Here is a 27,982-nt window from a genome sequence, read left to right as displayed (position 1 = left end):
CGGTTTCACCATGTTGACCGGGCTGGTCTTGATCTTCTGACCTTGTGATGCGCCCACCTCAGCCTCCCAAAGTGCTGGGATTACAGGTGTGAGCCACCGCTCATTATCTCTTATTTTTGTCCTTTAAAATCATTTGGGAGGCCGAGGCAGCAGGATTACTTGAGCCCAGGATTTCAAGACCACCCCTGGCAACATAGTGACACCCCATATCTACAAAAAATTTAAAAAAAAAATTAGCCCGTCATGGTAGCGCACACCTGTAGTCCCAGCTACGCAGGAGGCTGAGGTAGGAGGATTGCTTGATCCTGGGAGGTTGAGACTTCAGTGAACAGTTATTGTTATTGCACCACTGCACTCCATCCTGGGTGACGGAGTGAGACCCTTTTTCACAAAAAAGAAACCAAGATTTGAGTGCTTGAGGTATCATTGCTTCTAGGCCCTCTTAGCTGATAAGGAACTATACATGTGTATACTAACATATATATACACACACATATCCCTACCTATGAATATTTCTATATGTAATCATCTGTATTTATATTAAGGTAAATTTGCATTCATATTGATGTCTCCAACTCTAATCCATTACCACATGGATCATTCTGCCCTTATCGACTTATCTATTTGCTTATCTGTAACCTCCCACTCCAGAAGTGAGAAACCTGGCTCCCACCATCCTCCAGCCATTTACTTGTTTAATTCCAGTGTACAGGTATCGTAGTTTCAGAATTTTAACCCAAACCCTAGTGGGAAATACTTTTATAAAGTAAAATACAATGCTTATGTACAGTTTCTTTTGCCTTCAGTATTACAGGTGCCACTCATTTCCAAAGTTATATATAGTTCAGCATCTGTTCTTTTACCCGCTTATATGAGGTTGCTTCATACATTTTCAATATGATTAGATGCTTTCATCAAATTCTACATTCCCTTCTGGGATTCCCTGACCTCCTAAATTGCTTTTTAAACTTGCATATATTAAGGTTCATTCTTTGTGCCTTTTCTGTGCATTTTGACAAATACATTCTATCCTGGGATCTCATGACCTCCTAAATGATTTTTTTTTTTACCTTTGCATACATTGAAGTTTATTCTTTGTACTCCAGTATTCCCTAGGTTTTGATATATTATATTTTCTTTGTTGTTGTTGTTCTTGAGACGGAGTCTCGCTCTGTCCCACAGGCTGGAGTGCAGTAGCGTGATCTCCATTCACTGCAAGCTCTGCCTCCCGGTTTCACGACATTCTCCTGCCTCAGCCTCCCGAGTAGCTGGGACTACAGGCACCCACCACCATGCTCGGCTAATTTTTTGTATTTTTAGTAGAGACGGCATTTCACTGTGTTAGCCAGGATGGTCTCCATCTCCTGACCTCATGATCCGCCCGCCTCAACCTCCCAAAGTGCTGGGATTACAGGCGTAAGCCACAGCACCCGGCCCTATATTTTCTTTTTTTTTTGAGTTCTAAATGTTTTCTAATTTCCCTTGAGACTTCCTCTTTTATCCATGGATTATTGGTAGTGTGTTGTTTAATTTTGAAGAGTTTGGAGATTTTTCTCATTGTCTCTTTTTTTTTGAGGCAGAGTCTCGTCCTGTCACCCAGGCTGGAGTGCAGGGGCGCAATCTTGGCTCACTGCTACCTCCGCCTCCCGGGCTCAAGCGATTGATTCTCTTGCATCAGCCTTCCGAGTAGCTGGGGCTACAGGCGCCCGCCACCACGCCCGGCTAATTTTTGTATTTTTAGTAGAGACGATGTTTCACCATATTGGCCAGGCTTGTCTTGATTTCCTGACCTTGTGATCCTCCCGCCTCAGCCTCCCAAAGTGCTGGGATTACAGGTGTGTGCCACCACTCATTATCTCTTATTTTTGTACTTTAAAATCATTATGGTTAGAGAACATCCAGTCAGTCTGAGATATGTGGAGTTTTTTTTTTTTTTTTTGAGACAGAGTCTAGCTCTGTTCCCAAGGCTGGAGCGCAGTGGCATGATCTTGACTCACTGCAACCTCTGCCTCCCAGGTTCAAGCGATCCTCCCACCTCAGTCTCCCGAGTAGCTTGGATTACAGGCACGCATCACCACACCTGGCTAATTTTTCTATTTTTAGTAGAGACAGGATTTCACCATGTTGGCCAGGATGGTCTCGAATTCCTGACCTCAGGTGATCCACCTGCCTTGGCCTCCCAAAGTGCTGGGATTACAGGTGTGAGCCACCACGCTCAGCCTGACATGTGGAGAATTTATCAAGTCCCTATGGCTATCTCACTTCTCAGATCTCCCTGTTAACCTCAGGCTAATGGAGTACCTGCTTCTAAAGTTCTAAATCAAGTGAATCCCCTATGGTAGCAGCAACAGCAGCCAAACTTACTGTTTTCTCAGAATGCCCCACTTTGCTGGGCAACAGAGCTGGGTGGGGGTGATGGGAACAGCCTTGTGCAAAAACACCACAGATTGCACAGTTCTTACCTGAAAAGTTCAGTAGTTTTCACGAATAAATGCTTCTGATTTTGTTGTATTCCTTAGGACAAATTCTGGAGTACTAAAGTGATTGTTTTTGAATTTTGTCCAATTTTAGGATTCCTTTTGAGGGAGGTTTCTTAACGTCCTCACTCTGTCATACTGGAAGCCAGAAATTATTTTTTTTCAGTAGGCAGGAAGGAGAGTATCTGATTATTGTACTTCTGTTAAATTAACTTATTTATTAAAATATTTAGATGGGTTCCAAACCAGACTTTGTTATTTATCTATTTATTTTTTAGAGACAGGGTCTTGCTTTGTCACCCAGGCTAGAGTACAGTGGCTCAGTCATAGCTCACTGTAACCTCAAACTCTTGGGCTCAAGCAATCCTCCTGCCTCAGCCTCCCAAGTAGCCAGGACTATAGGCGTGTGCCACTGTGCCTGGCAAATCTTTTTTAAAATTTTTTTTGTAGAGATGGGGTCTTGCTATGTTGCCCAGGCTGATTTCAAACTCCTGACCTCAAGCAATCCTCCCACCTCTGCCTCCAGAGTCATTGGGATTACAGGCGTGAGCCACTATGTCAGGCCCTCGAACCAGATTTAATATAAAAATGGTCATGTCTTCTTAAGTAGGAACTAAATTATCTTCATTTTCTTTTTCTTTTTATAACTCATGGAGGCCAAGTTCACAAAGACAGGATGCTCCACATGTACCTTCCAGTAGTTTTGTTACCTTATTGCCTCTCACAGGAACAGGTGATTTCATATTTCTAGCTCCAATAGTGCTCTTTCAAAACTTGCTGACATTTCATCTTTTTCCCATTTGGCCAAGATTGGTGGACACATTTGTTGGCCTTAGCACAGCATTTCATAAGTTGTCAGCAGGGAGTTAATAGGTGTTACATGGTCAAATGCGAAATGTGGTATTAAATAATATAAATACCAGTCTCTCCACTGTAGAATTTCTTAGGTCCTTTAATGTGCTAATATGAATTGAGAATGTCCAAGAAAGGAAATAATATACAAAATCTCCCAAAACAATTTTACCAGGGAACCCATTTTAGGAAGCAGTGCTTGGCCAGGTGCGGTGGCTCATGCTTGTAATCCCAACACTTGGGGAGGCTGAGGTGAGCAGATCACCTGAGGTTAGGAGTTCGAGACCAGCTTGGCCATCATGGCAAAACCCTGTCTCTACTAAAAATACAAAAACTAGCCAGACGTGGTGGCAGACACCTGTAATCCCACCTACTTGGGAGGCTCAGGCAGGAGAATAGCTTAAATCCAGGAGGCGGAGGTTGCAGTGAGCTGAGATCACGCCACTGCACTCCAGCCTGGGTGACAGAGCAAGACTCCATCTCAAAAAAAAAAAAAAAAAAAAAAAGCACTGCTTAACACGTATATATCCTTCCCTGCCCACAATTATACATGTTTTGTTGGAAACATGAGTTGATACATGGTATTGCTATGTTTATTTATTTATTTATTTATTTATTTATTTATTTTTTAGACAGAGTCTCACTCTGTCACCCAGGCTGGGGTGCAGTGGTGTGGTCTCGGCCCACTGCAACTTCTGCCTCCCAGGTTCAAGTGATTCTCCTGCCTCAGCCTCCCGAGTAGCTGGGATTACAGGTGCGCACCAACACGCCTGGCTAATTATGGTATTGCAATGTAATGGTATCCACAATGTATGTGTGTAGTTAACTTATAATATGAGCATTGTAGTAAACTGTACAGAATAGAGCCAACCTAACAGACATGAGACTGCTATCTTTAGACAGGCCTGCTGGCAAGATTGGCCCTTGGCTGGTATGTGGGAACTTGGTTTCCCTCTGTTCCCTAACCGGTAAATAGTTCAGTTTGCCTGGTTTGTTGGTACAAATAATGTGATTTATCCTGAACACATGTTTTCCTCCTCAGAGTCTGGAATTTTAGTACGTGCCTCTGAGACCAGCCCCCAGTGAAAACCATGGTCACTAAGTCTCTAATGGGCTTTCCTGGGTAGAAATGTGTACACCTGTTGCTGTATTTTTTTGTTGCTGGAGAAAGGATAGGGAGAGAACATATGGAAGTCTGAGCATGAATTTCTCTAGACTCCTGTCTTTTCCCTTTGCTGACCGTAATGTGTATCTTTCACTGTAATAAACCTTAGCTATGAATACAACTATATCTTGAGTCCTTGGAGACCTGGTGAATCACTGAATGTGTGGGTGGTCTGGGAGATCCCAAGACATAATAAAAATATTGCATGTGTTAGGCTGGGCGTGTGGCTCATGCCTGTACTCCCAGCACTTTGGGAGGCCAAGGCAGGCAGATCACTTGAGCTCAGGAGTTTGAGACCAGCCTGGGCAATATGTCGAAACCCCATCTCTACAAAACATACAAAAATTAGTTGGGCATGGTGGCACACGCCTGTAATCACAGCTACTCAGAAGGCTGAGGTGGGAGGATTGCTTGAGTCCAGGAGTGTGACAGAGCCAGACCCTGTCTAAAAAGGTATATATTGGGCCGGGCGCGGTGGCTCACACCTGTAATCCTAGCACTTTGGGAGGCCGAGGCGGGTGGATCACGAGGTCAGGAGATTGAGACCATCCTGGCTAACACAGTGAAACCCCGTCTCTACTAAAAATACAAAAACTTAGCTGGGCGTGGTGGCGGGCACCTGTAGTCCCAGCTACTTGGGAGGCTGAGGCAGGAGAATGGCATGAACCCGGGAGGCGGAGCTTGCAGTGAGCTGAGATCGCGCCACTGCACTGCAGCCTGGGCGACAGAGCAAGATTCCATCTCAAAAAAACATATATAGTATATATTATATATATTATCTTAATCCTCAGAACATCTCTGTAAGGTAGATAAATATTAATGTTTGTCTTTTTTAGGTGAAGAGACTGAGGTTAGTGAGGTTAAGTAACTTCTTTTGGATCTCAGTTAATAGGTGAGAGAATCCAAATCTGTCTGACTTCAAAGCCTTGGCTTTTAACTATTATACTGCATTGCTTCCCAAAACCATAAATTTTACCTGTAGTGGGTTGAGGGGAATGAATGATGATAGTGGTCTGAGAATGCTTCACGCAGAAGATAGGATTTGAGTTGGTCTCAAAGGATAAATGGGCTGGCCAGGTGTGCAGTGGCTCACGCCTGTAATCCCAGCACTTTGGGAGGCTGGGGCGGGTGGATCACCTGAGGTCAGGAGTTTGAGACCAGCCTGACCAACATGGTGATACCCCATCTCTACTAAAAATGCAAAGGATAGCCGGGTGTGGTGGTGCACACCTGTAATCCCAGCTACTCGGGAGGCTGAGGCAGGAGAATTGCCTGAATCTGGGAAGCGGAGGTTGCAGTGAGCCGAGATCATGCCATTACACTCCAGGCTGGGCAACAAGAGCAAAACTCCATCTCAAAAAAAAAAAAAAAAAAAAAGATAAATGGGCAGAATTGAAATTAAGGGAAGTGGAAAGAGTATTGTCAATAGATAGAATTTCATGATATTAAGGCATGCAAACGGTAAAAATGCAAGATTTGCAAGAAAGACATGTAACTTTCAAATAGTTGGGTGAAATGGAGGATTTACAGTAGAAAGTTTTCCTTCTGTACTTAAAAAAATTTGGCAGCTGCCACAGCATGTTTCTGTTAGTGTTTAGTGTAAGATAATGAATCTGATCTAAAACAATTATATATTTAAGCTTAATAAGTGATACATGTTAGTTTAAGGATAATAAATAAAATAATGTACTTGTTCTGCAAGGACAACCATGATTTCCCAGGTCTTTGCCACCTAAACAAGTGGGAACCCTCATGCTGTTAGCAGTAAAGAACTGTTGAAGCTTTTTTTTTTTTTAAGCAGCATTTTATCTGAAAACAGCATTTCACTCATATTATTTTTTACTTATTTATTCTTTCTGAGACACGGTCTTGCTCTGTTGCCCAGGCTGGAGTGCAGTGGCAGGATCTTGGCTCACTGCAATCTCCGCCTCCCAGGTTCAAGCAATTCTCCTGCCTCAGCCTCCAATTAGCTGGGATTACAGGTGTGCACCACCATCCCCAGCTAATTTTTGTATTTTTAGTAGAGACAGGGTTTAACCATGTTGGTCAGGCTGGTGTCGAACTTCTGACCTCATGTGATCCAGCCACCTCGGCCTCCCAAAGTGCTGGGATTACAGGCATGAGCCACCGTGCCCAGCCTTCACTCATATTAATCTGGTGGTAGTTTGAAGAATATATTGGCTAGAGCCAAGGAGTGAGTCCATTTAGATCACTGCAATCATAGTAGTCTATGCATGAGATAATTAAGAGCTTATAGAATGGTAGAAATGAAAGTGGACAAGAGACATTGTATAGGAGGAATTTCATGACGTAGTGATGGACTGGAGATTTGTGTATTGGTGGGGAGATCCAAAGGATCTGAGTTTGAGTGGTTTGGAAAAAAATGCAGTATCTTAAACAGAAGTATGACATTTAAGCAAATCGTCATGCCAGGATTGTGATAGGTTTGACCCCAGGTATATTGACTTGAATTATTTATTTTTTAATTTAATTTTTTTAGAGACAGGGTCTCACTGTCACCCAGGTAGGAATGCAGTAGCGTGATCATAGTTCACCATAACCCTGCACTCCTGGGCTCAATCAAGCCTCCCACCTTAACCTCCCAAGTAGCTGGGACTACTGGTGTGTGCCACCATGCCCAGCAAATTTTTTTTGAGACGAGATCCTCCTATGTTGCCCAGGCTGGTCTTGAACTCCTGGCCTCAAGCAATCCTCCTGTGTCAGCCTCCTAAAGTACTAGGATTACAGATGGGAGTCACCATGCCTGGCCTGAATTGAATAATTTATTAACATCCAAGTAGAAAAATACATTTGGGAATTGGTTGTGAGATTGTGATTGAAGAGAGAAATCAAGGTATAGGATAAGAGATAGAAATAATGCAGTGGAGTGATCACTGAAACTGTCTGAATATAGGCATCACCTTGGAGGAAAGAACAAAAAAGAACATCAAGGACTGAACTCTGGTTTTATTCATTTCATCAATAAGAAATGAATATTAAAGAGCACATTTGAAGTTAATATGTTATTACTACCTATCATAAACCACGTTTGCATAGTACTTATTTTAATGTGCATTGATTGGGTATTTTCTGGCTTGTGAGCTTTGAATTAAGTGGTCTTTTATATTATGATATGAATAACTTTTAAATGAAATCAGTAAATAAATGATCCTGCTTTATGTAAAGCATAGATACTGAATAACATTCAAATAGCATTTTTTTCCTTTTCATATGGCACATTGTTCTTCATAACTTTGTGTGTGTTTGTGTGTGTATGTGTGTGTGTAGTTGTTCTTTCTGTTGCCTGCTTAAGAGACACGGTCTTGCTTTGTCGCCCAGGCTGGAGTGCAGTGGTTGTTGCCCTAGTCCCTGTTTCATTTAAATACTTGCTTCAGTTTGTTAATTATTTTTTCCTCCACTTGTTGGCTATTGTGCCACTAGTTCAGCAGCCTTAATTTACTGCCAATTGAGTATTTAAGATAACTTGTTAGACCAGAGTTATACACAAGAAGAGTCCTAACATTTTATTTCCCTTAGTGGAGAAATGTTCTTTTTTCATTTCTCTTCTTTTTCTCCCTCCCACCCAGAAATGTTCTTTTTTTTGTTGTTTGTTTGTTTGGTTGGTTGGTTGGTTGGTTGGTTGGTTGGTTGGTTTGGTTTTGTGTGTGTGTGTGTGTGGAATCTCACTCTGTCTCCCAGGCTGGAGTGCAGTAGCGTGATCTCGGCTCACTGCAGCCTCCACCACCCAGGTTCAAGCAATTCTCCTGCCTCAGCCTCCTGAGTAGCTGGGATTACAGGCACCCACTACCATGGCCAGCTAATTTTGTATTTTTGGTAGAGACGGGGTTTCACCATGTTGGCCAAGCTGCTCTCAAACTCCTGACCTCAGGTGATCCACCTACCTTGGCCTCCCAGAATGATTGGATTACAGGCGTGAGCCACTGTGCCAGCCCCAGAAATGTTCTTAAATTAATGACATTTAGACCTAACCTCTCTGCAACAAATGCTTTAGAAGCTGAAGGGATTGGGCACAAAAATATTTCTAAGAGAAGACGGATAGGCAAAACTGTGGGCATTGATACATTCCTGTTTCTGGCTATCTTCTCTTTTTAATTCTACCTGCTGACATTCTTCTAGGTTGAGAACACAGTCTATAAAAGCTTAGGCTCTAAAGTCTTCCCCAACTTTGTTGTGCTCTTTGCTCCCTCGCTGGAATAAGCAGAGAATTAGTTGAATGTGCAAAGGGATAACAAGAAGAAATGATACTTTTATTATAGACTGACTTTTGTGTCTCAGGATTTTATGTCTTAGAAAAATTGGGATTCCAACAAGTTAGTATGTCATTTTGATATATCATGGTTGCCCCAAATTAGTAAATGTTGTTTTAAAACTCTTGTATATGTGAATGTTCTGATTAATTCATTAAACTCTTCTTATACAACACTACTGTGTTTCCCTTTGATATTTAAGGCTGGGTGCAGTGGCTCACACCTGTAATCTCAGCACTTTGGGAGGCTGAGGCAGGCAGATCACTTGAGGTCAGAAGTTTGAGACCAGCCTGGCAACATGGTGAAACCCCATCTCTACCAAAAATACAAAAATTAGCCGGGCGTGGTGGTGTGCGCCTTGATTCCAGCTACTCGGGAGGCTGAGGTGTGAGAATCGCTTGAACCCAGGAGGCAGAGGTTGTAGTGAGCCAAGATCGCGCCACTGCACTCCAGCTTGGGTGACAAAGCGAGACTCTGTCTCAAAAACAAACAAAAATATTTAATCACCTTTGAATCTAAATTTTCAGTAGCACAGGGTTCATAGAAAATCACAGACTATGCATATGCAATCATTGAGATTGTCATGTTTCCCTTTATTAAGTAATATCTTCTTCCATTTCCTACTTTATTATATCAGTTGGCATTTATTTTATTGTATTATTATTATTCTTTGAGACAGAGTCTTGCTCTGTTGCCCAGGCTGGAGTACAATGGCGTGATCTCGGTACACTGCAACCTCCGCCTCCCTGGTTCAAGCGATTCTCTTGCCTCAACCTTCCGAGTAGCTGGGATTACAGGCGCACACCCCCACGCCTGGCTAATTTTTGTATTTTTAGTAGAGACGGGGTTTCATCATGTTGGCCAGGCAGGTCTTGAACTCCTGACCTCAGGTGATCCGCCCACCTCAGCAGTTGGCATTTATGATGGAGTACAACGGAAAGCCCACTGAACTGACAGTCAGGATATCTGGATTCTAGCCCCAGCATATGACGCCAGTTGTTAATCTTCTGGGTCCCAGTTTTACTGTCTATAAAACAGAATGACACTTGTTTATATCACAGGCCTGTTATAAGTTTCAAAAAGTATTAATATGGAAGCTTCTTGCATTACCTCTTGCAATTTTTTTTGTATTTTTTCATGATTAAAAGAAGTACCATAACACATGTATAAGGCATCTTCACATGCTTGTTAAATCCCTGGAACTGTTATTGTGCTTAAATTTACAACTGTATTTCCTAAAATTAATTTTAGAACCACTCTGTAAGTTTTTGGCTTATAATTCAGTCAGAGGAATTGGAACTCTATGAATATTTCCTGTAAGAATGATATCATAAGCATGAGTAATAGTACTCAATTATCATGTAAAGACTTAGTGTGATGTTCAGATTAGGAAAGTATACTTATGGAATTCTCTGTAATTGATTTCTTTCATTTATTTGAACATCTTATGCTCCACAACTCATGAGGCTCATCAAACCATCTGTGTCTTCATTTCTGCTATTCTAGATACACATTCATCTTTTTAAATCGTAAACAGAAATATCGGTAAAAAATAAAATGAGATTCTAGTTTTCTGAAGCTTCTTAAAAGTCAGTATGGTACATTGAAAAGATAGAGTGTCTTTGTCTAGGCTTTAGAGTTCCAGGCCTGTCTCTGCTGGTAATTAGTTGCAAGAACTTGGGCATGTCAGTTTACTTATTCTGGGCCTTGTTTTCCCATTATAAAAGTGGCTTGCACTAGACCTTTTTTTTTTTGTTTTTAACATTATTTGATTCTTTTTTAATCTTTAAAGTATCTATCTGAGGGAGCTGGTGAAAAGATTAGAGTTTATACTAATTTTTATGAGTACTATTTATTACCCTTGATTTATACCTAAGGTAACCATATAATTTGCTGTCCAAACAAGAGGAAACTTTTTTTTTTTTTTCTTGAGACGGAGTCTTGCTCTGTCCCAGGCTGGAGTGCAATGGTGTGATCTCAGCTCACTGCAACCTCCGCCTCCCGGGTTCAAGCTATTCTCCTGCCTCAGCCTCTCGAGTAGCTGGGATTACAGGCGTCCACCACCATGCCTGGCTAATTTTTGTATTTTTAGTAGAGACAGGGTTTCACCATGTTGGCCAGGCTGGTCTTGAACTCCTGACCTCGTGATCCACCCGCCTCGGCCTCCCAAAGTGTTGAGATTACAGGTGTGAGCCACTGCGCCCAGCCAAGAGGAAACTTTTGAGAGTGAAAGGGAGTACTGTTAGCAATTACTCCAGGACAACAGCTTTAAACCAGGACGACGCAGGTAAACTAGAGTGTGTGTTCACCCTAATTGCACCCCATGTGTGGCTCTGTTAACTGCTTTGTTGGCCAAAGAGTTATCTGATTATCAGTTTTAATTCTTTTTCATGGTTTCCCTGTTGTTGTTTTTTTTGTCTTATAGATCCACTGTGTGTGGAGAGTAATGCAGCATCATGCCAACAGTCTCCAGCCAGTAAAAAAGGGATGTTCACAGATGACTTACACAAGCTGGTGGATGACTGGACAAAGGAAGCAGTAGGAAATTCTCTTATTAAGCCAAGTTTAAACCAACTTAAACAAAGTCAACACAAACTAGAGACAGAAAACTGGAATAAAGTATCTGAAGTAAGTTGTTTATACCCAATTCACTTTGTTTACAAGAACTAAAACCATAAAAATTGATGCGCTTAGGCCTATAGTTACAGTCACTATGAGAGAGTAGTATGACTTGATAACATAGAGACTTTTATCCTTTTTTAGATTCATTATGTCTTTGAGCAAATTATATTTTAGACCATGAGTCAGTAAACTTTTGGGGGGAAGGAGCCAGTTAGTTAATATTTTAGGCTTTTCAAGCTATACTATTACAACTACTTAACTCTGTTATAGTGCAAAAGCAGCCATAGAGAATATGTAACCAAATGGGCATGGCTTTGTTCCATTAAAACCTTATTTACAAAAAGAGGTGGTGGGCTGTGGTTTGCCGACCCTTGTTTTAGACTGTTCTATTTTTTTAAAAAAATCCAGCAAGTATCAAAGAAGAAAGCGTCTGGAATGAAGGTTAATTCAGTCCAGTGTTTCAAGAAGAGTTTGGGTTTTAAGGAAAAGTTTTCCTGTGTTTCACGTCAATATTCTTAGATCTGATAAGTTATTTGTTCATTATGAAAAAGAACTTTAAAGTTATTTAAACTGGAATATTATAAGAGGTGTTTTAAAGAAAAGATGCCTAGTTATTGCATGTGGCCTTAGTCAGGTGTACATGCAATGAAGTGAAGAAAGATGCCCACAATGCATTCTGGAGTAGGAAGAAGTCAGGCTTACAGAACAGCACACATAGTATAATATAATTTATGCAAAATTATATACATTAGATATGCATAGAGAAATATGAAAAGCCATGAAAAATATGCTGGATGGTGGAATTTGGGCCTTATTCTACTTTGTACATTTCTGTGTTTTTGTATTTTTAAAGTAAGTGACTTTTTTTTCAAAATGAGTAAACCTATTAAAATGGAATCAGGGCTTATAATTTTAACCCTCTTAATTGAAAGAGATTTATCTCTGTGTGTTACATTTGTGTACATGTATTGTCATATGTGTACATGTATAGTCATATAGTTTGTTAAAGAAATAATGCATTTATTGTTAATATTGAATAAAAATTTTCAAAATCCTCGATTTCCCAAGCTAGTGAGCAGTATATCTCCTTGGGAGCTCTGTGTATTTATCTTACTTGTGGCACCAATTTATACACAGATAGCATCACCATTGTAAAAATTGGAAGCCTTTAGAGGCAAATTTCAAGACATAAATGCATTTGTACTGCCAGTGAGAGAACCTCTGAGTACTGTGTGAATGGAGGCTTTTGTTGACTAGTTGGAGGGCTGTTTACTGGAGTATAATGGAGGATGTTTGGAGGAAGGGTGAGTAGAAAATGGTGTGTGAATAAAAGTAGTGAACGTCATTTAACAGACTTGGGTTCCAATGTCAGCTCAGTCACTTACTAGTTGTGTGACTTTAGAAAAGTCATTTGATCTATCTGTGCCTCAGTTTTCATGTCTTTCAAACAGAATACCTGCCTTACAGGATTGCTGTGAGGATTAAATGAGATAACACCTATAAAGCTGTACCTTTATAGGTGTTACATAGTAGGTACCCTATATCTAGTAACTATTTTTGTATTTGTAGGTTCAGTTGGTTATATCTTTTGTGTGGCAAGCCCATCTCACTAATGCTCTTACATTGTATTGCTCTGTATCCTTACTCAGAAATACTTGTTTGCTTAACAGTTATGTACCAAGCCCTCTGTTAGACATGGGTTTGGTGAGTAAAAACAAGTATGATCCCTATCCTCATGGAATTTATGCTCTGCTAAGACAGCTAGTTAGACATAACAGAATTGCATATACGAATATAAAATTGCAACCGTAATAAGAACTACAAAAGAAAGATATAGGCTATAATACGGGAAATTTGACCTAGTAAAGGAAAGTCAAGGAAAGCTTCACTGAGAAAGTGATGATTAAGCAGAGATCTGAAGGATGAGTAGGTGTTAACTAGGTGAAAAGAGGAAATGATTCCATGCGGAAAGGATCGCATACGCAAAAGCCCTGTATGAGGAAAGGAGCGTGAAGGGATTGAAAGTAGGCCAGTTTGGCTGAAGTGAAGAGAGCAAAGAGGAGTTAGTGCACAATGGATCTAAGGTAGATGGAGTCTTAAAAGTGGTAATGATAAGGAACTTCATCTGTATTTTTTGTTAGTTTGTTTGTTTTTATTTTTTTTGAGACGGAGTTTCACTCTTGTTGCCCAGGCTGGAGTGCAATGGCGCGATCTCTGCTCACTGCAGCCTATGCCTCCCAGGTTCAACAATTCTGCTGCCTCAGCCTCCTGAGTAGCCGAGATTACAGGCGCTCGCGACCATACCTGGCTAATTTTTGAGTTTTTAGTAGAGACAGGGTTTCACCATGTTGGCCAGGCTGGTCTTGAACTCCTGACCTCAGCTGATCCACCCGCCTTGGCCTCCCAAAGTGCTGGGATTACAGGCGTGAGCCACCGCGCCCAGCCGTCTGTATTTGAAGAAAGATAAATAGCCATTTAAGCCCTAGGGTTGACATGATCAGACTTGTTTTTTGAAAAAATGACTCTGACTCAAGCAAGAGAAAAGGATTATTTATTGGAGGTAAGGGTAGATGTTGGCAGACCAGTTAAGAGTTAGTCATGGTAACTCTTAACTGGTCTGGAAAATGGGAGAAGTTGAGTTGAACAGAAGTGAACAGATTCCAAAAAATGCTTAAGAGATTAAATGGACAAGATTTGGTGATGGAATGGATGTATGGTGAAGGGGAGGTATTAAGGCTAGGTTTCTGGCTCCCATAACTGGATGCTATTCTAGTGTACCAATCACCGAGATGCGGAATGTGAGCAGACAGTGTGCTTTGGTAGGGGAAGATCACACATTTGATTTCTAGGCATTTGTTTCTGAGATGCCTTTGAAATATCCAGGAGAAAATGTATAACCTCTCCAATTTGTCTTTTTTTAAAAATCAGGTTATCTATAAACTAATAATGTTCATTATATAATTTAATCAGTGCAGAAAAGTACAAAATTTAAAATATCACCTTCAAATCCCACCACCCAGAAATAATTTTCATTAACTTTAGATAAACATCATGTCAAATATCTTTCTATGTATGTATGCATGGAAATAACTATAAAAATGTAAGGCAGGGCAGTTATGAAGATGGCATTAATTAAGGTACATAATTATGGTTAGCACACAGAAAGGTGCTCCAAAAATGGTAGTCCCTAATAGTAACAATAGGAATAGTATGCCAAAAAGACTAGGAAGGAATATTCATTTGTGCAGCAGCAATAGAAAAAAAAAGAATAGGAAGGAATATAGACTGATAAAAGTCTATACCAAATAAACTGATCTTTTGTTTTTATTTTTGTTTTTCTTAGAATACTCCGTCTACTATGGGCTACACATCAACATGGATTTCTTCTCTGTCCCAAATCCGTGGAGCTGTCCCAACTTCCTTGCCACAAGGACTCTCACTCCCTTCATTTCCTGGGCCATTATCATCATATGGAATGCCTCACGTTTGTCAGTATAATGCTGTGGCGGGGGCGGGGTATCCAGTACAGTGGGTAGGAATTTCAGGAACAACACAACAATCTGTAGTAATTCCCGCCCAATCTGGGGGACCATTCCAGCCAGGGATGAATATGCAGGCATTTCCAACTTCATCAGTGCAGAATCCTGCCACAATCCCTCCTGGTCCTAAATGAATCAGAGTAGATGGTGATAAAAAGGGAGGTTTTTTCAGAATTATTTTCAGGACACCCAAGATATTAAAGTTTCTTCCTCTTGGGTTCTGTCATATTTTCCCTCATTTGAGTTTACTTTAGACTATATATTTTTTGTTCCAGTGTGGTATTTGATACAGCTCATCATTCTGTAGAAATGTGCAGTTTGCAGATAGAACACTGCACACAGAAATGTTTTTTCACTTCAAATTCTATCCTCTTTGATACTTGATTTTTTAAAAATACTGTTCAGAATGCTTTAATAAGCTCAGCTTGAGCATTACCATTTCCAGGACACTTTCCATGAATTGTTGAGAAGCTCCCCATCCCCCGCCTTTTTTTTTTTTTTTTTTAACTGCTGCTATCTGCAGCTGGATACTCTTCTTTAAAAATGTTTAAAAATTATTTAGATTGATTCTCCCCAAATGTGGATGAACTGAGACCCTCCATCAGCCAGAGTCTTATGGGATCTTCACTTCACATGTTTGTCTTAGGTTTACCTTTCACAGAAGGCAGGGTAACTTGCTGCAGGAAACGTTTTGGTGTATAAAATTAGAATCACTTTTTTTTTTTTTTTTGAGATGGAGTCTCTCTCTGTCACCCAGGTTGGAGTGCAGTGGTGTGATCTTGGCTCACTGCTGCAACCTCCCCCTCCTGGGTTCAAGCGATTCTCCTGCCTCAGCCTCCTGAGTAGCTGGGACTACAGGCGCCAGCCACCATGCCTGGCTAATTTTTGTATTTTTAGTAGAGGATGGGGTTTCACTATGTTGGCCAGACTGGTCTCAAACTCCTAACCTTGTGATCCGCCCTCCTTAGCCCCCCCAAAAAATTACAATAATTTTGTCAACCAATACAGAACATGAGCCCTTTTTAAATGTGATTTCCCGTCATCACAGCAGTAGGATGAAGCCTTGTTTTGGGTGAGACAGAGGGAAAGGGAAAAAACAGAATTGTAACAGTTCCTTGATTCTGCAGATACTGCTGCTGTTTTACGATTTCAGTAATAATTCAAAGCAGCTGTCTCCTTGTTTCTCACATGCATACTACATTGGTTTTGAGCATCTGAGAGGCATTGGTTTGTCTTGCATTCTTTTGCAAGGCATATATTGCAGCTGATATGAATCTCGTTTGGGGGGAATCCTTGTATTCCTAACAAGGGGGATTAAAGCTACACCTCAATCCATTCTTCTGAAGTGAAATTTACTTGACACAGTAGGTTTCGAGACTTACATATGAAACACTGGCTTTACAGGGTTCTCAGAGATGTGGGGTATACACTGTCCTGCAGTGAGATAGTAGACCCTAGAAGGATACTATTTAAGTTGTCCTTAGCTCTTTTTAATTACAATTTTTAGTTGTTAGAATTTCTTTTTAGTATCTATAGTATCTTAGATGATTTTAGATCTTAAATGAGTTTGGCAGCCTCTTTAGAATCTGAGAGAGATCACTGTCAAGTTGCACTTTACTGGGTTTTATCCAGTTTTAGGAGGAGGGGAGGCAATGTCAAAATGTACACCTTTGGTTTTTAAGAAGGTTAACTATAATAATGTTAAAGGCTAGTCACAGGGTTACCTAATGCTCAGTCTGTGAAACCTAAATAGAATTCTTAAAATGTTATTTACCAACTAAGTATTCATGTTCAAATTACTTACCTTCCACTCTGAAGACTTTAAGGTCATTTCTAATACACATTTACCTAATTAGGAGTTCTGTCTACTAGTAAACATTCCAAATTGCTACCCAACATTACTGTTAACAGATTTTCCTCCGTATTCTTCTAAAAATTATACCCCATGGGCTTGCCAGGTAATGACGAAAACTTAATGGGTGTACTTTTTTTTTTTTTTGCACAGTCTACTTTGTGACATTAAGTACCTCTTTTCCAAAAAAAAAAAAAAATGTGTTTTATGTTGCTTACCTGAGGATCACATCCATTATCAAGAAGATTCTGTCGCTATAATTTGAGGCATCTAGGGCAGCATTTTGAGAATTGCTGTTGATAAGATCCACTGTTTCTTTTCATAGAACATGATCTGTTTTGTATGAGTCTTTCCAAATGTTAAGTACAGATTCTTCAAATTTCTTGTACAGTATTGGTTTGCAGTTTAAAGTGATTTTAGGACATTAGTGTAATGCAAATGCTTGCATTGCACTGTTTTCCATATGTATAAAAACAATGCTCCTAAAATCCCTAATTCTTTAAAACTGCCTGTGTTTCATTATAAAAAGTTGGCTTTGTGTAATTACACCGAGCCATACAACCTATAAAGTGAAAATACTGCAGATTTTAGGACCCCTTCTTCTCTAGTCACAATCATTTTAAACAGTGTACCCCAGGATGAAAAAAGCTCCATGGCTGACATGTACAATTACATGTATTAATGACTGCTCTACATCCTATGTTCTGCCTTTGGCCACCACCTCTATTCCACATATAATTCATCATTCTTGTTTGCCTGCAGACTCTTGCAGTGCCTTGTAATATTTACAATCTTTTCAGGTTTTTGCTGGAAAGAAAAGTAGTCTTCTAAAGTTTGAAGATGGTGAATAGTGTACTGCTGTCTCCATGCTGACTGCAGTAACCGGGTTATCATATATGTTATGTATACATTATGTATATATAACATGTGTACATTTAAAAATACAGAAAAAAGTGAGCTTGTGCAGAAATGGAGAAAACAATGTTATTCTCATCACTGTGGGGTTTTATTAAAATTATTTTTTCCCATGACTTACATGTTTGGTTCAGATTATAGTCACTTTGACTGTAAATACTGGCTAGTTTTCTATCCAGGGCTTTTGCATTATTTCATAATTTTGCTAAATCATATAATAGTGCTATTTTCATCCTTGTCTGAGGTACTTTTCCTCCCCAGAAATAATTAACTTGAGGTAAAGCTCAGAAATTCCCTTCTTAACAAAGAGCCTACTATATAAAAAGGGCCTTCCTTTCCAAAAAACACACAAACCTGTCCTTTTCATTTTCCTTCTTGTAGAGGAGAAAATGGTTGTACTTAACCATCCTGCTTGTAAAGTTTATTCAGAGGATAGTCTGTATGTCCAGCCACCATGTTTACTTCTCAAAGTGCAAGTCTGATGAATAGTACTGTATCTCCATATGTGGTAATGTGAGCATTTCATCATGAAGTACCTGCTGCTATGTCTGTGAAGTTGGGTGTAACATCATAAGAATATGAAACCAGTATTGGTGTAAATCTAATGAAAATAACCCTATGTATATTTGTAGCAGTCTTGAATCTCTATTTAAGGTAATTTGCTGTAATATAACAAATATTCATTCTGTTTTTCATCCCTTCCTTGCCAGTTTTATATCAAGCATGAATTCCAATGGTTTGACAGCAAAATTATCTGTGAAAGTTTAAAAGGCACTTTTCTGCTGTGATTTTTGGATTGAGTGTGGAGTGTTATGTACAGTTTGATGGGATATATCATTTTAGAACCCCAGATTTAATTCTAGTCCAATTAATTTTGTTTAACTACCTCGTTTTCAGTGCTGTTTTGGGTGCACAAGTAAACACTACCTGTGAAACTTGCTTTTTTGCCTTGATTCTCAGTATTCTTTCAGATTATAAATCTGGTCTGCCTCTTTTTTCCCAGTGCTAGCCAACAGTTTGAGATGAGAGGGATCATCACTCTCATCTGTGTTTAAGTGGAGAGCCATGTGCTTCTGTGAAATATGCTTTGGGGATTTGGGGGTGGAGAGCAGAAGAATAATTGAAATTGGTGGCAATATAGGATTTAGGTGTAGGAGTTAGTTATAAAATAAACAAATGGTAAGAAAGTACCTGAATTAGACAATCCAGTGCCTATAACTTTGCATTTTTTATTAGAGATGCATTTCTCGTCTGTGTGCCTAAAGGGCAATGGGTTGAAATTGCTTTAACTACCACAGCGAAATATTTGACAAATCCTTCAGCAATGGCCTATCATTCAACATATATTAGCACAGTGCTAGGTATTTGCAGTGGTATTTTGTTACCTTAAAACGGCCAAATGCATTTAGTTGAAATGTAGTTGATAGTAAGGGTTTTATATAACTTTATCCAATCTCTAAAGTTTATGGAAGCATTGACTTTCTTCTTTGCTGTCTTTTCTGAGTGATGAAAATGATGCATTCCTTTTTTTTCCTTGAAAACTCAGCAAATGTTTGTAACCAGATGTTCCTTGTTTCACATGTTTACTGTGTAACACTACAGCATATTTAATATTGGTAAATACTGTATTTCAGTCATTATGCATAAGTACATTCCTGAGGTATATTTGCCATCATTTTGGGATTCAGTTATTTTATCTTCTGTTTGGGTCAGAAAAACTTGAACTATCTGAGGTGGTATGCAGGCCATTTTCTAGAAGATTGTTTTTTGAATCTGTAGTTTATCAAGGACTTGTTCCCCCCCTCCCTTTGTTTAGAAGAGGAATCAGAAAAGGGGGGTGGTGTGTAGAAAAGGCCTTTGATTTGATAGGTGTAATTTCTAAGATTGAAATTTTAAAAATGCAGATCGTAAGATAGTAACACTCAAACTTGATAAAATCCTTTGAATTGAAATTAGTATGAAATTTTTATGGAACCAAATGCCTTCAGGTCACCCTGGAAATAGTCTTTGTATGTGAAAGATCAACACAAACATTGGTCAGGAACCCTGACAGCCAATATATGAAGGAGCCTGGGATAGTAACTAGGTTACACTAAAGTTATTTTCAACTAAGATAGCTAGACGAGTGTACAAACCAATAGCTCCTATTCTGGAAGGTTTTCTTTTTATTAAAAAAAATTCAAACAAGGTTAAAAGTCAAGCAAGAAGGGAAGAGAGAAACTGGGTTCTGAGAAAAAAATGTGCCAGTATAAAATAAACTCCTAAATGCGTGCTTGTCATCCTCTAGTTTTTTTTTAAGTTGAATTTCTTTTCCACTGTAACTTAAGATTTGAGATTGAGGTTTGCGGTCCAGAACATACCCTCAGCAGATACAGTGACTAACTGGAAAGTGCAGTTGTTCAAGGTCTGTCATGCTCAATCACCTAAAGCTATAATTTGTTTGATATATTAAGCATGTAGACCTAGTGCAGCATGGGAGCCACTCAGGAAGTTTATGCAATTAATAAACTTTCAGCATAATTTACTATGAAGTATGCAGAATTTCACCCTCTTCTCCACACTTAACATTTAGTTGTATATGTGAACTCTCCTTTCTTAATTGGGGAATGTAGCATTATATAGAATGTTGTTAAAGTTAATTTTAATCCTTTTTGACATTAACCTTTTTTTTTTTTTGGTAAACCAAGTGATCTGCCTTTCAGCAACTGTCTTATTTTGGTTCTTTGAAACTGTGATTTTTATTTCATTTGTACCCAACCATTGTAAGTATTTTGTTTTGTTTCCTGGAAATTCTGTTTTGAAACAGAAAATAAAGGCTGTGTTAAATGAGTATGTTATCTTATTAAAATGCTGCCATAGTCACTGCAATCATCTGGCTAAAACTGGTTCTTCATTTACCAAATGTAATTTAGCAGATTTAGAACATTTAGTCCTGTAAACTATGCTGGCCTAAAAAAACTAACCAAGCTGCATGTTACCTCTTGATTTACAGTTCCAACAAATTGAGTTGGACTTCATTTTCACGCTTGTACATGAGCCATAATTGTAACAGTTGCTCTCATTTACTGAACACATACTGTGTTAGCTAGGCTTTTACCTGCGATATTTTTAATTCACACAAAATCCTATAAGATGGGTCTGTTACTATTTCCACTTACAATGCAAATTTGAGGATCAGAGAGATTAAAGAATTTACTAGGGCCACATAGCTAGTCAGTAGTGAAGCCTGGATCCAAACCCAGATCTGTCTGTCTGCACAGCTCATGGGAAAAACCCTAGGCCACACTGATTCTCAGATGTACTACATGCATAATAATTCAGATACATTTAGAGTAGGCCTTTATCTAATAGGATTTGTATGTACACACTTTTTTTTTTTTTTTTTTTTTGAGACAGAGTCTCTCGCTGTCACCCAGGCTGGAATGCAGTGGTGCGATCTTGGCTCACTGCATCCTCCACCTCCCGGGTTCAAGCGATTCTTCTGCCTCAGCCTCCCAAGTAGCTAGGACTACAGGCATGTGCCACCACGCCCGACTAATTTTTGTATTTTTAGTGGAGACGGGGTGTCACCATATTGGCCAGGCTGGTCTCAAACTCCTGACCTCGTGATCCATCCGCCTTGGCCTCCCAAACTACTGGGATTACAGGCGTGAGCCACCTTGCCTGGCCCACTTTTTTTTTTTTTTTCCAGACAAGGTCTCATTCTGTCACCCAGGCTAGAGTGCAGTGGTGCAATTACGGCTCACTGCAGCCTCAACCTCCTGGGTTCAAATTGATCCTCCCTCCTCAGCTCCCCGAGTAGCTGGGAGCACAGGCACCTGCCACCACACCTGGCTAATTTTTGTATTTTTCGTAGAGATGGGTTTTCACCATGTTGCCCAGGCTGGTCTTGAACTCCTGGGCTCAAGCAATCCTCCCATCTCGGCCTTCCAAAGTGCTGGGATTACAGGCATGAGCCACTGCACCCAACCTGTATGAACACTTTTTACATGTCTTTCATGAAGTTGTATCCAGTGCTTATTTCACAGTTTCAGAAGGAGGTTTTTATGGCCCAAGCAAGGATTCAAAGTGTTCCCTATGCACAAACTTATTAAGAAGTATTTCCTTTCATGTTGATAGTGTGTATCATCCACCTTTAGAAAAACACGTATTTGGAAATCTCCCTCCCACACTTCTCATTCGTCACTCTGCACTGACTTGAGAAACTCAAGACTGGGTCAGATCACTTGCTCATCTGGTAACTTAGGGAGAAGGACATGCATATGCTTATGCAAACAACCCTGGATGAAGAGTAATAGGCCTATCAGAAATATTCAAGATTAGATGAGTGTTTTAAAGGTGTTTTTAAATATATGTTATCTTGATTTACTGACCCAATGACTGTGAGTCATTCTATCTTAGGTGATCCTTAAAGGGAGGTAACAAGGTACATGTGGAATAAGCATGGGTTTTTTTTGATTCACAGACCTCTCGAACCTATATTTCCTCACTTGTAAAATGAGGTGGTTATGAGTATTAAATGAGACGTGTTAAGGCAACTAACCCTGTCTCTACTAATTGCACTTATTGTTAGATATCACTGGTGACTTTCACAGTAAACTTGCACTTGGGAAATTAAACTGGTTTGGAAATGGGCCCTGATTCTGATTATAGTTAATACAGATACCTTTTGGAGTCCAGCAGACCTGGAGTTGTATTCTATCTTACGGACTTGGGAAAATTGCTTGACTTTTTAGCCTCAATTTCCTTATCTGTAAAAAGGATAATTCCCTCAGTGAGGTTGTTTTGAGGTTGAATGAAAAAGCATATAAAGGGCTTATCACTGTGCCTGATACATAGTAGGTTTGCTCAAATAACTTACACAAGGGACCTTACAGATCATTATTGTAAATGAGGACAAAACAGAGGTGACAAAAAAACTGAACTCAATCCGTGGGTTAACATAAGGTCTGTTGGTGGAAAAAATTGGGTGTTGGCCCAAAAGGGGCAAGATGATGTAATAAAGTGAGGTGTAGAGGTGAGAGTGTTTAAGTTGGGGAATAAGACCAACATAGACCCTTTTAAAATACGCCATCATTAATGAGCACCACTTAGTAAAAGAATGAGATAACAGGCAAGGCGCAGTGGCTCGTGCCTGTAATCCCAGCACTTTGGGAGGCCGAGGTGGGTGGATCATAAGGTCAAGAGATCAAGACTATCCTGGCCAACATGGTGAAACCCCGTCTCTACTAAAAATACAAAAATTAGCTGGGCATGGTGGCACACACCTGCAGTCCCAGCTACTCAGGAGGCTGAGGCAGGAGAATCGCTTGAACCCAGGAGGTGGAGGTTGCAGTGAGCCAAGATCGCATCACTGCACTCCAGCCTGGCGACACAGTGACACTCCGTCATACACACACACAGAATGACATAACAGAATTACATCTGTGACTAGGGTTTAGAAAGAGGTGAAGTAGTTGGGGAGTGGGGAGAAGACGGACATTATAACAGGAGCTCAAGACAGGAGTGAAGTATAGCATAAATGATGGTCTAGATAGGAGCAAGACCTCGGGCTAGGTGGAGAAAAGACTATCATAAAATTTTGGAATTGGAAAGGACTAGTTCACATGCATGTTACAAATGAGGAAGTAGGCTTAGGAATTTAACCAGTATTTATAAACGTTCTCCATTCCAGCTCAGTGGTTCTCAACCCTGACTGTATATTAGAATCACCTTGGGAACTATTTTAAAAAATGTTTTAGTTGTACAACAATATGAATATACTTAATATTACTGAACCATATACTTAAAAATGGTTATGATGGTAAATTTTATGTGTATTTTACAATTAAAAATAAAATTTTTAAATTTAGTGTCTGGGCCCCATCTCTAGAATCACCATCATCTTAAAAAGCTTCCCAGGTGACACTGATAGGTGACTTGGGTTGAGAACCACTGTCATTGTTTACTAATCAAATGACTTTCCTACTGTCAGCCAGTTGCTGATTCAGGTAACACAAGCAATATGGCAACCTCATTAGACCTTCTGATGAATTATTTCCTATAACTCTATGACCTCATAGCCTCTCAAAGAGGCCCCAAGGATTTGGGCAATAGAGAAAGCTAAGTGGACCTCTTTCAGAAACTGAACACCTAGTTCCTACTTCAGTGGAATGATGACATAAGATTGAGTTTGATGTGAACTCTCCATATAACCTCTTTATGCTTCTCCCCACCCTTCATAAGAGTTAACATTTCTTAGGTGCTTATTGTGCCAGTTATTATGCTAGTGCTCTACAATGTCATTTAATCTTCACAAGCTTCTAAGGTATCATTACTTATCACCTTTCTGTGCTCCTTGACTGTCTTTAAAACTGCTTTCTTCCAGTGCCCAGCTTTATTCCTGGCATGTAGTAGGTATTAAATAAATCTGTTGAATAAATTAATGGGCCCCCATTTCACAGATACAGGAAGGGTACAAGAGGCTAAGCAACTTGTTAAAACTATACAGCTAATAAAAAGTTGAACTGGTATTGGAAACCAGTTCTTGGCTCCAAAGCACACATTCTGAAACGCTATTCTATGACTTCCATCCTGTATAGTTTCTCCTGTACTATTTATGTTAGGAATCTTGTGTTTAAGTAGTATAAACACAATTTGAACAAGTTTAAGCAAAAATAGGAATTTATAAAGATAGGGGTGCCTCAAAGAACCCAGGGATAATACAGATGGGCCTTAGGAGCAAATGAACCAGGTGTCTGAATACAGCCAGGATTTTTCATGTCTTCTTCTCCAGCTCAATCAAATTCTCTGGGAATGTCCCTAAAGGATGGCTCCTGCTGCAACCATGAGGATAAGGTAGATAAGATGGTAGAAAAGGGGTGCTGCAGAGACAGTCTAATAGATATTTATCTATAAACCTCCTCTTGGCTGTCCCATAAACATGCTGTTTTCCCCATACCTACAATTCCCAAAATGCCAGCACCTAACATTAGCCATGGACAACTGCTGGTCATATGCAACTACTGCATTCAGAAGCAATGGTATGGCAAGGACATAACCTTTCCTCCTCTAGTTCGGTGACAATGTAAATATGGCTGCTCTTGATCTCACAACCTCTGATAAACTTAATTGCCACCAATAGATCTAATATGCAAGAGTAGAGAAATAATTAGATAACCACAATCAAAATGCCCTTTTAGGGGCCAGCACGGTAGCTCACGCCTATAATCCCAGCACTTTGGGAGGCCAAGGTGGGCAGATCACTTGAGGTCAGCAGTTAGAGACCAGCTTGGCCAACATGGTGAAACACCATCTCTACTAAAACTACAAAAATTAGCTGGGCGTGGTGGCATGTACCTGTAATCCCAGCTACTGGGGAGGCTGAGGCAGGAGAATCGCTTGAGCCTGGGAGGCGGAGGTTGCAGTGAGCTGAGATCCCACCACTGCACTCCAGCTTGGGTGACAGAGTGAGACTCTGTCTCAAAAAAAAGCCCATTAGGCCGGGCACGGTGGCTCACGCCTGTAATCCCAGCACTTTGGGAGGCCAAGGCGGGCGGATCACGAGGTCAAGGGATCGAGACCATCCTGGCCAACATGGTGAAACTCCGTCTCACCTAAAAATACAAAAATTAGCTGGGTGTGGTGCCACGCGCCTGTAGTCCCAGCTACTAGGGGAGCTGAGGCAGGAGAATCACTTGGACCCAGGAGGTGGAGGTTGCAGTGAGCCGAGATTGCGCCACTGCACTCCAGCCTGGCGACAGAGCGAGACTTCATCTAAAAAAAAAAAAGCCTATTTAGGAAAGGAGGGGTCACACCATTATCAGCCACCAGGTCCATTTCCACCTGGATCAGAATAAAAGAAAGAAATTACAGGCATATAAAAAATGGCAATCAATTTACTGATGTACCTCCTTGCTTAACCAGTCTGGACATGGGCCTAAGAGTATTTTTCTAGAAAAGCAGTGATTCTCAAACTCAAGAGTGCGGCTAGAATCACCTGAAGGGCTAGTAAGACCTGCAAAAACTCGGCAGGTACACTCCATTCAAACCCCTGCACTAAGAGACTTTACCAAACATTAGCATGGTTTCTGGCAGTCTTAAGATTGAATCCCTGAGAAGACCCAGCTCACTTTTTGTTTTGTTTTGTTTTTTTGAGATGGAGTCTCACTCTATTGAGCAGGCTGGAGTGCAGTGGCGCAGTCTCAGCTCACTGCAACCTCCGCCTCGCAGGCTCAAGTGATTCTCATGCCTCAGCCTCCCGAGTAGCTGGGATTACAGGTGTGCGCCACCATGCCTGGCTAATTTTTGTATTTTGAGTAGAGATGGGGTTTTGCCACGATGGCCAGGCTGATCTCAAACTCTGACGTCACGTGATCTGCCCGCCTCAGCCTCCCAAAGTGCTGGGATTAACAGGCATGAGCCACTGCACCCAGCCCCAGCTCACTTTTGAATTCCCTGTCAGGAAAATCTTTCAGTTTGTTCTAGTCCACACCTAAGGATAGGCCTCAGCTTCTCTTTATTTTATTTATTTATTTATTTATTTATTTATTTTTATTTTTATTTTTTGAGATGGAGTCTCTCTCTGTCGCCCAGGCTGGAGTACAGTGGCGCAATCTTGGCTCACTGCAACCTCCACCTCCTGGGTTCAAGCAATTCTCCTGCCTCAGCCTTCCCAGTAGCTGGGATTACAAGTGTGCACCACCATGCCTGGCTAGTTTTTTTGTATTTTTAATAGACATGGGGTTTCACCATGTTGGCCTGGCTGGTCTCGAACTCCTGACCTCAGGTGATCCACCTGCCTGGGCCTCCCAAAGTGCTGGGATTACAGGCGGGAGCCACCAAGCCTGGCCTGCTTCCCTTTCTTAGGGCATTTAGTAAAAAAGGGCTTAGTATTGTAAATCCTTCCTCTGTTCCTTTGAGATGTTTATGTATTTCCTACAAACTACAGAGTGTTTGTTTCTCAAGGGCCTGGAAGCCAGTCCTTTGAAATGTAGGGTAGGGCCTCTGTCTCCCAGTCTCTGGGAGGATAAAAATCTAACTTCAGTAATTGCCAGGTAGCAGACACAGCTGGCCTAATCACATTTATACTGAGAAACCCTCTGTAATTTTTCACTTCCATGACGCTACTGAGTCCCTGCTTGCTTTCCTTCCCTACTCCCTCATTTTCCCTCTAAAATGCCCAGTCACCTCTGTGCAAATCAGAATGAAGCTCAACTCTTTCCTCTTCTGTCAGTAGTTACTGAATAAAATCTGTCTTCACTGCTTTAACTAATGTTACTTAAACCACAGATTTCTGGCCCCACACTCAGAGTTTCTGATCCTGGAGGTCTGAAGTGAAGCCTGAAAATGTACATTTCTAATAGTTTGCAGGTGATGCTGATGTGCTTGCTCCAGAGACATACTTTTGAGAATCACTGCTCTGGTCAGGCACGGTGGCTCATGCCTGTAATGCCAGCACTTTGGGAGGCCAAGGTGGGCAGATTACTTGAGGCCAGGAGTTCGAGACCACCCTGGCCAACATGGTAAAACCCTGTCTCTACTAAAAATACAAAAATTAGCCAGGCGTGGTGGCGCATGCCTGTAGTCCCAGCTACTTGGGAGGCTGAGGCAGAAGAATCACCTGATTGCTTGAACCTGGGAGGTGTAGGTTGCAGTGAGCCGAGATCGCGCCACTGTACTCCAGCCTGGACGATAGAGTGAGACTCCATCTCAAAAAAAAAAAAAAGAGAATCACTGCTCTGGCTGATCAATTATGGTCCCTATTCACAGATTTGATCTTCTAGTGATACAGATTCTTTAAAACCTTATTTGACTGCCTGTTGGTTTCATTTTGAGGGGACTCAGAATGCTAAAAACAAGTGCCAAGAATCTTGTCAAGTTAGGCTCTTTGAAGCTTCAGATCTGCTAAAGGAAACAGCCTGGATCATCCTGTTGTGGCTTCTATTCATCACATTTAGGAGCGCTGGAGAACAAGGAGTACTACTTAGGAGGCAGATATAGATAACTTCGTTCCAATTGCCTTGATGCCAGTTTCCTAACTGGTGAAACCTTTGAGACAAAATTGAGATTCTGCTGTAATTCAGCAAGGCCAATGAATATCTGACCCTCAGCAAATGCAGATCTCTTGTTATAAGCAAAAGGGGCTGCTGTTTTGAGTCCCAAGAGCAATAAGCAAATGCTTCACTGCCAAATAACACAGAATGCCAACTTCCTTCCTATCAACTGATGCAGAGGTCTCTGATCTCTATCTGTTCTACATTTTAGGGTCTCTACAAAAAATAAAATTATTCAGGCATGGTGGCATGTGTCTG

The 27,982-nt window shown here is 40.6% G+C and overlaps 1 protein-coding gene across 17 annotated transcripts in view; it reads left to right on the top strand.

Annotated features, from left to right (window-relative positions):
* The window catches only part of WNK3 (WNK lysine deficient protein kinase 3), a 166,078-nt gene extending 145,520 nt beyond the window's left edge, over positions 1–20,558 (top strand). For all 17 annotated transcript variants that reach the window (XM_047442382.1, XM_047442379.1, XM_017029744.2 and 14 more), the window contains 2 exons: positions 11,188–11,390; positions 14,728–20,558. In XM_047442382.1, coding sequence (XP_047298338.1) covers positions 11,188–11,390; positions 14,728–15,057 — 533 coding nt within the window. In that variant the 3' untranslated portion in view covers positions 15,058–20,558. The remainder of the gene's footprint in view (positions 1–11,187; positions 11,391–14,727) is intronic.

The sequence above is a fragment of the Homo sapiens genome, chromosome X, assembly GCF_000001405.40.
Source record: "Homo sapiens chromosome X, GRCh38.p14 Primary Assembly".
Lineage (NCBI taxonomy): Eukaryota > Metazoa > Chordata > Mammalia > Primates > Hominidae > Homo > Homo sapiens.
The sequence above is the reverse complement of the archived record's forward strand: the minus strand, read 5'-3'. Positions and strand labels throughout refer to the sequence as shown.